The sequence below is a fragment of the Homo sapiens genome, chromosome 17, assembly GCF_000001405.40.
Source record: "Homo sapiens chromosome 17, GRCh38.p14 Primary Assembly".
NCBI lineage: Eukaryota > Metazoa > Chordata > Mammalia > Primates > Hominidae > Homo > Homo sapiens.
In genome coordinates this window covers 52,249,535-52,261,564 of record NC_000017.11, presented here as the reverse complement: position 1 = coordinate 52,261,564, position 12,030 = coordinate 52,249,535, and positions in this window count along the sequence as shown.

Genomic DNA, 12,030 nt, shown 5'->3' with positions numbered 1-12,030 from the left:
AATTACAATTCAACTATTCACATGGAACCAAAAAAAGAGGGTAAATAGCTAAAGCAATCCTATGAAAAAGAACAAATCTGAAGGCATCACATTACCTGATTTCAAATTATACTTCAAAGCTATAGTAACCAAAATATCATGGTACTGGTATAAAAATAGACACATAGATGCATGGAACAGAATAGAGAACCCAGAAATAAAGGCACATACTTATTGACTACATGGATCTGATATTTGATAAAGTCAACAAAAACATACACTGGGGAAAGACCTATTCAATAAATGGTGCTGGGAAAATTGGATTGCCATATGCAGAAAAATGAAACTGAATTCCTATCTCTCACCTTATACAAAATTAACTCAAGATAGATTAAATATTTAAATGTAAAACCTGAAATTATGAAAATATTAGAAGAAAACCTATACAAACTGATATGATTAGGCTTTGTAACCGCACCCAAATCTCATCTTGGATTGTAATCCCCATAATCCCATAATCCCTACACGTGTCAAGGGAGAGACCAGGTAGAGGTAATTGAATCATAGGGGTGGTTTCCCCCATGATGTTCTCATGATAGTGAGTGAGTTCTCAGGATATCTGATGGTTTTATAAGGGATTTTTCCTCCTTTGCTCAGCACTTCTTCCTACCGCCCTGTGAAGAAGGTACCTTGCTTCCCTTTCACCTTCTGTCATAATTATAAGTTTCCTGAAATCTCCTCACTCATGCTGAACTGTGAATCAATTAAACCTCCTCCTTTATAAATTACCCAATGTCAGGCAGTTCTTTGTAGCAGTATGAAGACAGAGTAATACACAAACTATTCTAGATATTGACCTAGGAAAATGATTCATGACTAAGACTTCAAAAGCAAATGCAATAAAAAATAGACAAATGGGACTTAATTAAACTAAAAAGATTCTGCACAGCAAAATAAATAATCAACAGAGTGAATAGACAACTCACAGAATGAGAGAAAATATTTGCAAACTATGCATCCTTCAAAGGACTAATATCCAGAACCTGCAAGAAACTCAAGTAACCCAACAACAACAAAAAACAAAAGAAACAACCCTATTTAAAAGTAGGCAAAGGGCAGAAACAGATATTTCTTAAAATAATACCTACAAATGGCCAAAAAACATATAAAAAATGCTCAACGTCACTAATTCAGAGAAATGAAAATTAAAACGGCAATGTGCTATCACCATTTTAATTACACCACTTAAAGTGTCTATTTTAAAAAGTCAAAAATAAGAGTTGTTGGTGAAGATATGGAGAAAAGGGAATGCTCTTATGCTGTGGATGGGAATTTAAATTTGTACATCTATGAAAAACAGAATGGAGATTTCTCAAAGAACTAAACATAGAATTAACATTCAACCCAGCAATCTAACTACTGGGTATCTACACAAAGGAAAAGAAATAATTAAGAAATCGTTACATCAAAAAGATGGCTGCATTTGTGTGTTTATAGCAGCACTATTCACAATAGCAAAACTATGGAACCTGACTCCATTAAGGGATGACTGGATACATATCACAAAACGTGAATGAATAGATATACCAGGGTATGTATACCTAACACATACCTAAAAAACACTTGTAGATATTGACTTTTTTTTTTTTTACACAGTGTGTATATACCTACAAAACAGTCAGTATCTAGAAGAGTTATGTTAGGTATATATGTATACACATATATCATATATTATTTATATTTATATATTATAAAATATATATTTATGACATATATTTGATATATTATATGCATATATTATATTTGATATATTATATGCATGTATTATATATTATATGCATACATAGTATATATGTATTATTATATATAATTATATATAAATATATTATGTATTATATACATATATATCTTAGATGTGTATATAATATATAATATACACATATATATCTTAGATGTGTATATAATATATAATATACACATATAAATATATACATATTTACATATTACATATACAAATTATATAGTATATATTATATATATAATAGTATATATTACATATTAAATATATATGAGATATAATATAAAATATATTATATATACACATGTAAATATATACACATGTAATATTTATTTATGTGTATATATAATGTATATTTAACATATACACATAAATATATATCTTTATGTCCACATATTATATATATATTTTATATACTATGCTTAATATATAAAATACATATTATAGGTGTATATATATTTTATGTTATGTAGTATTCCATGGTGTATATATATTTTAGACATATATATCATATGATATGATATGGAGCACTTCTTCCTACCACCCTGTGAAGAAGGTGCCCTGCTTCCCTTTCACCTTCTGCCATAATTGTAAGTTTCCTGAGGCCTCCCCACCCATGCTGAACTGTGAATCAATTGAACCTCATATATCATATGATGTGATATATCATATGATATGATATATATGTCTAAAATATATATACATCATGGAATACTATTCATTTGTAGAAAATAATAAAATCATGTATTTTGCAGCAACATGGATGGAACTGGAGGCCGTTATCTTATGTGAAACTATTCAGAAACAGAACGTCAAATACCACAGGTTTTCACTTGTAAGTGGGAGTTAAATAGTGTGTACACATGGAGATAGAGAGTGGAATATTAGACACTGGAGACTTGGAAGGGTAAGAGAGTGGGGTGGTGAGGAATGAGAAATTACTTAATGGGTACAATGTACACTCTTCAGGTGTTGTTTACATTAAAAGCTCAGACTTCACCACTACACAACATAGCCATGTAACAAAACTGTGCTTATAGCCACTAAATTTTTACAAATAAAATACATTAATTAATAAAACAATAATTAAAATTAGTAACTTTGGCTGGGCAAAAGACACAGTTCAGAGAATGAGAAGACAAGCCACAGACTAAAAGAAAATATTTGTAAATCCTGTTTCTTACAAATAACTTGTATTCTGAATAAAGGACTCTCAAAACTGAAAAATAAAAAATAAAAAAGCCCAAGTTTAAAAATAGGCAAATTTTGTCAATAGAAACTTTACCCAAATAGATAGCAAACAATATATGAAAAGATTCTCAAAATATATAGGACAAGATACTCAATAGTATTAGTCATCAGAGAAAATTAAGTTAAAACATCATTGAGATACCACTGACACCACTTACAATGACTAAAAAACAAAATGACAATACCTAGGCAAAGGTACTGGAACTCTCATGCATTACTGGTAGAAATGTAAATTGGTACAACCTTCTGAAAAAACATTTGGCAGTTTCTTATAAAGTTAAATACACTCACCAGGTGATCCAGCTAACACACACCTAGGTATTTGCCCAAAATAAATGAAAACTTACATTCACACAAAATGTGCACACAAAGGTTTATATTATAGCAGCTCTATTACCACTAGCAAAGCTTGGAAACAATACCCATGTCCTTCCACTGGTAAATGCATGACCAAATTATGATACAAAGGAGTAGTTCTTATCCACTGAAAATTCAAACAAACAAAAAAAATGTTGATTTACAAAACAACATGAATGAACCTCAAATGCATTTTGATAAGTAAAAGAAGCTAAACCAAAAATGCTACATATTGTATGATTCCATTTATATGTCAAATCAGTAAGAAAAAGATAAACATAACATTTATTTTATTTTTTTTCCTTAGAAAGAAACATTTACTGGGGACTTAGGAATAGAAGCCATGTCTGTGTCTTGATCAGCAGCAAGACAAGATGGTGGATCTTCACACCATTACCCCCTCAGACCACAGATATAGACTGTACAGGAGGGGTACAGGGGCTTCAGAGGGAATGGGTATGAATTTGCACTAAGGGCAGGATTTATGGTAAGTATGTGCTCTTACACAAGGAATAATAGATAATCTGGAAATCTTAGAGGTATTCCCAGAGCTAGGGTTAATCCAAAGACAATCTGTTGGGTTAGCATCCAAGTTGGAGTCCCTTTGGCTTCTACGCTCCACCTCCACCCACACTCCAATTTGGTTCTTTCAATCTCACATGCCCTCCTCTTCTGTGATGGTCCCTGAGCCTTTAGGAAGGGTGCTTGATATGGTAGAGGTTAAGCAGCAGTGCACTGGCAATGGAAAACCAATCAGGCCAGTGAAATTCCAAATGCAGTAGATTTACAGGCTGTTGAATCATCTCTAGTCTTCACAATATCATGACTTTGGTTTTCACAGAAGTAAAACAATGAGAGTCACATAACATGAACAATTTGAATAGCAGAAAAATAATGTACACAAGGATTACAATCAAAAGAAAATTTGTATGCCAGAACAACAACAACAAAGAACCTATTCCATTAAGGAACCAACTGAAATTATCATGAAGAAAATTAAAACCTGTTTCTTTTTTAGAGACTACCTGTAGCCAAGCAATAATTCAGGGTTAGCCCAAATTGTGGGCAAATAATCAAAACTCAAAACAATGGGCAGAGCTAGATTCTAAATTTTTCTCCCTTCAGGTTCCCCATTTCTACCAAGAATAAATCATAGTAGGACCAATTTATTTGCAAAATAAATTTTAGTATCATTATAATTTGCATCAGGTATAGCAAGAATAGTAGTCAGCCATATAGGCTCCTTTTAAGGTGGCTTTATTAGAACTTTTAGAAGGAATTTGAGATTTGACTTTTAAAAGTCTTGAGGCCAGAAGCCAACCCAAGTATCCACCATTAGACTGTGCTTATAACACCCGTACAAATTCCCCTCTTCTCAATGTCCCCAAATATCTTGAAGCTCCAGGGCCTGTTAGAAAGTGATAATCTTTACTTAACATACACGTCAGAAATCTTGAAGGGAACCATTGAGACAATGTAACAGGCCAGTCTTTCCAAGGGGCTTTTTATCAGCTGTATAAAGTCAACCTCAATTTCTCCACAAAATCTGGTCATATCTGAAAATATGTCATTTCAGTGAAAGCCTTGGTAAAATAACCAATGTCTCCACTTGTGTCCCGTAACAAAGGAAAACATATTCTGGCTGAGCTTATGCAAATAAATGTATTGATATAAAATAAGAAGACTCACAAATAGTTTCCAAATTTTGGAACTTAGGTAAAGAGAATAGTAAATTTTGCTCACAAAAATATACTTTACTTAATTTTTGTAAGATATAAATAGCTCAAAATAAAAAGTTTTTCTTGACTCATCTTCAATCAGAATTGCAGTCTTCCAAACAGAATGTAGTTTGTTCACCTTGGAACTGCCATTTACAAGCCACTCAATTCTTTGCCAGTCAGGCGAGAGCTATTTATTGGGCACTATAGAATCCGGCAGCTCTTCACACAGTTCCAGAAACAGTCCTAGGGAAAAAAGAGGCTTCCTGCCATAAGTATCTCCTCCTTGCATTCCCCAGGAGGCCAAATCCATTATAAACTGTTTCCATTTTAACATGGGACTCTTTTGGGCACCCCATTTCCATTAGGGTAGCTTCAGTTAACATCACATAGCAAGGCAGTAAATACCTCTGAAGTAGAAATTCTCTTGTCCAAAGTCTCAGTATTTGTCATTGTGAGGTGCTCACAGGCTTTTGACCTAAGCCCCTGTAAATGGTCCATAAAGGTCTACCAAGTGGAGAATTCGTCCTTACCAGCACTCCGTCTTCCACTCTACACTATGTGGGCCAGGCAATCTTACTAGTTCCCATTTAGCATGTCCACTTAACATTGTAATATTGCTCAAAGGGTGGATTTACATGTCTTCTGTTTTATAGTACTGTTATAGGAGTTATTAATAAATTATTTTAGGCAGATAGGAAAAGGGGTTTTTGTAATTTTTTTTTTCTTTTAAAGCAGCTCTAGAAATGTTTCTTGTCTAGCAGAAAAGCCCTGACTCTTAAAGCCCCGCTGGCAAGCTTTAATATGCAAATGCTGGCCATTAGAGACTGGGTCCACCCAAACATAGCGATTCCCCTCATCTTCTTCTTGTCCCCACATGTGCGCCTGGCAACATGGCCGCCACCACATATCCCCACATGTGTAGAACATCATGGCGTCCTGCACTTGCATATTCAAAGCCTAGGGTTGTAGCAGAACAAGCCGCAGACAAAACCCCTCAGACACTGAGTTAAAGAAGGAAGGACTTTATTCGGCCGGGAGCTTTGGCAAGACTCACGTCTCCAACAACAGAGCTCCCTGAGTGAGCAATTCCTGTCCCTTTTAAGGGGCTTACAACTCTTAAGGGGGTCCACGTGAGGGGGTCGTGATTGATTGAGCAAGCAGAGGGTATAGGACTGGGGGCTGCATGCACCGGTAATCAGAACGGAACAGAACAGGACAGGGATTTTCACAATGCTTTCCATACAATGTCTGGAATCTATAAATAACATAACCAGTTAGGTCAGGGGTCGATCTTTAACCAGGCCCAGGGTGCCGCACCAGGCTGTCTGCCTGTGGATTTCATTTCTGCCTTTTAGTTTTTACTTCTTTCTTTGGAGGCAGAAATTGGGCATAAGACAATATGAGGGGTGGTCTCCTCCCTTAAGGTGGGGAGGCCAGTTTTTCTGCGGGCTACTTGAATGACATACCTGGTCAAATCAATCCCCTGGGCCCTGTGCAAATCAGACACCACCTCCTCCAGTCTCCTCAGATAACTGGCTGTTTTCTGCCACACTGGGGATTCCCTCTTTCAGCTTGGAGCCCCGCTTCCTCTGTCTCTGTACAGGGTGAGCCTCTTCCTTCTTTCTTGCCTATTAAATTCTCCACTCCTTAAAATCACTCCACATGTGTCTTGTGTTGTTTTATTCAAACCAGCAGGAGACCAAGGACCCTGGTGTTCCTCCAGTCATCAGAGCCAAATGAGTACTAGGTAGGAGAAATACCCTCAAGTCAGATACAATATTCATTTTCATAAAACATTTAGGTAAAGGCGTACAAACTATGTTACATAAAGCGTCATAACAATTGTTAAAAAGAAAACTAAGTAAAGGACATACATGTATGAAGGAATGTCAGTGCCCATAAATATATGAAAAATTAGGCAACCCTATTAACTATCAGAAAATACAAACCGAAAAAAGTGGTAATTTGTGTTTATCAGTTTGGAAAGGTATTTTCAAAGACTTAAAATATCCAATGTTGATTACAAAACAGGGAGAAATGGACAGTCTGTGCTGCTAATGACAGTGTGCCACTTTTCCGGAGGACAGCATAGCAATATGCAGCAACATCTTAAACTGCAAACCTACAGACCTAAAAATGACACTGCCCCAGGGAAAAAAAAAAGTATCTTAAGGAGATGATCACATAGGTTTGCAAAAATATGAACACATATGTAATCAATGCAGTATTATCCATAATGGTGAAAATTTAACAGAAAACATAAATATGCACCAGTCGGAAACTATTTAAAGATTTTATTGTATTAAATGCATAGCAACAATGGACTACCAGTCATTTCCAGCACTAATACTTCCTAGTTCTGAATTCCAGTAACCTGATTTACATTTGACATTCAATTTTGAAAGCATTTCAGGGCCTAGGAGGTACACATCCCTGCACTAAGTGCTCAGGTTACAAAGATGAATAAGGCACAAACCAAAACCTCAAGGATCTCATGATTTAATGGAGCTAGACTTGTAAATTAACAACTTAAAAAGCCATAAGTGCATATGATAAAGCAATTTATAAGTTTCTAAGGGAATACAAAGGAGGAACACTTAATTCAGACTCTAATTAAAAGTCATACTTGCCAGAGAGTTGATACATTTCCTATTTTCCACTAATAATACATAACACAGTAGCAAGTTTATGTGCCAGCATTTGAGCATGGGTCTGCCTGAGGGTAGATCCTTCAGATTTTTCTGTTGCTTCTTCTGTGGTTGAGATCAGGGCTATCCACAGAGAAGCTTAAATTCTTGGGGCTATAATAAAGAGTGAAGTCTTTGACCAGCATGACATACTGGCACAGAGCCTTTGAAAAGTACATTGAATATAGATTCTCAATAGATGCTTGTTGGTTCGGTTAATTTCTAAAATCTTTCAAAAGAGGTTTGCCGTAAGATATGCCAAAGCAAAGTGCCAAGCCTTTCTCCAGTATTGGCAAAAATAAACTTCCCTTGATGGGTATATATCAGCTACAGCTATAGAACAATAAAAATTGAGATGAAAAATTTTAAGCCTAATTACCTCTTTGTTATTATAAATATTGGGCCACACAGGTAACTAGTTTGCTCTCTGGAAAATCTGAACCCCCAAAGACTGTCCAGAGAAAGTTTTGGTATGAGTCATACTAATTTATCACTGGCTGCCATAACTAATAAGAACTTTAAATTTGTATCTCACTCTCTCTAGAAAAAAATAAAAAATAAAAAAATGAAAATAAAAAGTAATAATGAAACTACTTATAGCAGTAAGTTTAAGGATAAATCACTAATTAGGCTTTTAGGAAGGAGGGAAGGGAAGAAGCAATTAATGTATTTTTTCTTCTGTAGAACAATGCCTAGGTAATCGCCCACTGTGTGCATGAATTACAGCTGAGCTGCAAAAATGCTGTATAATTTTAACATTCAACTGGCTTTTCTTAATCAATCTCATTGATGTTCTTTCCAAGGATAAAGAATGGAAGCTTGACTTCTTTAACTTAAAGAAAATATAAGATCTCATTCTGAGTTTCTCTGTTTCTTTGTTATGATGCTTTAATGCCACCAGTATAATTGATTCTCTCTTTCTCCTCAAGTCGAAGGCTCATTTTTGATTCTAGAATGATAGCATCTGCTTCTCTGAAGCTGTGATGAATGAGGTATATGTACTTCTCTAACTCTTCACTTTTATGTCCAAAAGATGTGCTGCAAGAAGAGAATTGCTGGTTGTCAGAATTAGAGGCGCATCTTTCTACACTGGTGAAATATTTCCTGACCATTTCTGGCACAAATAGAGAACAAGCAAAACAGTCATCATAAAACCCCGAGGGAGTAGACAAAAATCCCTTGCAGGCTTGCCTAGAAAAATCTATATCAGAATCTAAGAAACGCATCAATTGCAATGGTATAGGGATAAGCATTTTTAAGCAATTTCTGTTCAAGTGCCTGTTAGCCACTCCAACTTTCAAAGAATTTTTGAAATTTTGAATTCTCACTAAAGCCAAAAAATGTATTAGGCACATTGCATATATTATTATTAACTGTTACAATACCCTAGAAAATCACTCCATTAATTTCCTTTCCAAATGAGAACAATGGACTCCCACAGTTTAATTAACAGTTAGTTCCAAGATCACCGAGCTTGTAGGTATTAAAACTGAGATTTGAACCCAGGTCCATCTATCTTCAAAGTCCAGGCTCAACCAAATTATCTAATGGACAAAAATGTGGGTGAACCCAAAATATATTCTTTAACACTTGGCTGGGTCTTGAAAACAAAACTATTGTGAACCTCTCTATTCCACCGCCTCTCACACCAATGAAAAAATGCTGTTTCCCTACGCTCATCAATAAAAAAGGCTGGGTACTCAGTTGGTCAGGCCTGTAATCCCAGCAATTTGGGAGGCCAAGGGAGGCGGATTGCTTGAGCTCAGGAGTTCAAGACAAGCCAGGGCAACAAGGTGAAACCCTGTCTCTACAAAAAGTAAAAAATTAGTGGCACTTGCCTATAGCCCCAGCTACTTGGGAGGCTGAGGTGGGAGGATGGCTTGAGCCCAGGAGGCAGAGGTTGCAGTAAGCCAAGATTGTGCCATTGTACTCCAGCCTGGGCAACAGAAGTGGAACCCTGTCTCAAAAAAAAAAAAAAAAAAGACCATAAATAATTATTTTTAGTATTTTTGCTGAACTCTAATGGGATATAAGTCATGTAAATACTGTGACACTCAATTGGACCTGGTATTAAAATATTTTTTAATAGACTTGGCACATTGTTAAGGTTATTTTTACCTATTTGCTAATATAATTTAGATTCACTGCTAGCAAGAAAATTATAAGATGACCAGTGGTAAAAATGCATGCTTCCTTATTATTCAAGATAGTGGCTTTCACATCTGACTCTCCCCTAAGACAGTACTTTATACTTCCAATACTTTGCATTGATGTTGCATGTTATCAAAAACTAGTTTTCTTTATCTTTCTGTCTCTCCTTGAGTTTGTCCATTTTTTTTTTACTTTATCTCATTATTGGCCTACCAAGTACCAAGAAACTTTCGTATTATCTCATTTCATCTCCACTGAGAAAGAACTGTTATGTCTATTTCTACTGCATGTTTAAGATCACATAGACAATACAAGAAGAGTCTAAGATTTAACTCCAAATGTTTCTGATGTAAAAGCCAGTGAATTTTCAATAGTACTATGATGAATCTTTATTATCCTTCCTTGGTCTCATTCCCTTTATTTCTTTGTATAACCCTGTTTAATTGAATATTACTGCATTGCTCCTCTGGCCAAAGAAATAACTTTACCTGTATTTCTTCCATTTCTATTTCTTTTCACCTCTGTATTCTACCTGCAGTAAACAACCCACCAGGACCAACTCCCCATGTCTAGAGGTATAGTATTCATTCACTTTTATTCGTTGATTCAATCAATCATTTTTCCCTTCATTTAACAATTCAACAAATATTTATGGAACATCTATTATGCGCCAGGCCCCTTGATGAAAATCACAAATATAAAGAATAATGTAATGTATCCCTTCTATCAAATACCTCATGGTCAACCAAGCTAAACATGCTATGATGAAAAATGTAACCAGCTCTAAATATACGAAGCTAAGGAAACATAAAGGCAGGGAATTCCATCTTATTGATACAGGGAAGTTTATCTACATTTTTTTTCCAAAAGTGAAAACCATAATTGTATATATTATTTGAATTCTGGAGTAAGTTTTAAAAATCTAACTTATGCACATTTTCTTGTGAGAGTACATATTCTTTAAACTATTATTTTAATAGCTATGTAATAATTAATATGTAAGCTTATGGTTTATTTTTAAAATTCTGTTATTGTTGATTGTATTGTTTCCATTTTTTATTAAACTAGTAATGTTGCAATAATTTATCCACCCTTTTTATTATATTTGTAAGATAGATACCTAGAAGTGGTATTGAAGAAGAAATTTAGGTACCTTTGATACATTTTGCTAAAGTGCTTCTCAAAGCATTTCAAGCACACATGCCCAGTAGAAGTCTACAGAGTGGCCACCTCACAGTACTCACCGTAGTATTAATATAAAAATTTTAAAAAGTCTATTTAATACATAAAAAAGAATACTTTATTGTTACATGTACTTGCATTAATTTAATTACTAGCAAAGTTAAAAATATTCCCATATAGCTATTGGTTATTTGAATTTCTTTAGCTTACTTTTTGTTCAGTGAATCACTAGTGTTTCTTATACTGATTTATCAAAAATATCTTAATGAAATGTTAATTTTGTTAGGATTATTTTATTATTTGGCATTTTATATTACATATTATAGAGTAGTTTTTCATTAAATCAAATATTCGCACAATACTGGTTAAAAGACTACTGGCTCCAGGTGATAGACTGAGCACACAATGTTTTTCTCCCTCTCTTGTGAGTTCCCATTAAAATGATGATACAGAAGTAAAAGGGGGAATAAAATCAGAACAAAAAGAACACAAGGGGAGCATTAGCAGAGTAGAGACTTCAGCAGATTTTTGGATATCAAAAATAGATGGAGGCATATTGATAATTGAAACAAACTAGAGGAAACCACAGCCTAGAAAAGCAAGAGAGAAGTTAAGCAGAAGACAATCTCGTCTGCCCAGGAGACCTTCAGGAAGGATCCTGAGGAAGAGGTGAATGATGGAAATGAAGGAGAAGGCTAAGTCTGTTCATGGAAGACCCCTGATAGCCACCCCTAGTCCCTGCTCCATGCCTGTCTACAGTAAAAGACAGTCTGGTGCTGATGTACAGGCAAACAAACAAACAAAAACAGAAATAAACCTATTTAAAGAAATTCAGTGTGTTAATTGAGGGAGCTAGAGAAGCCTAGCTCTGGGTGGAGGAGTGAGCCTAGAGAGGGGGTCTTAT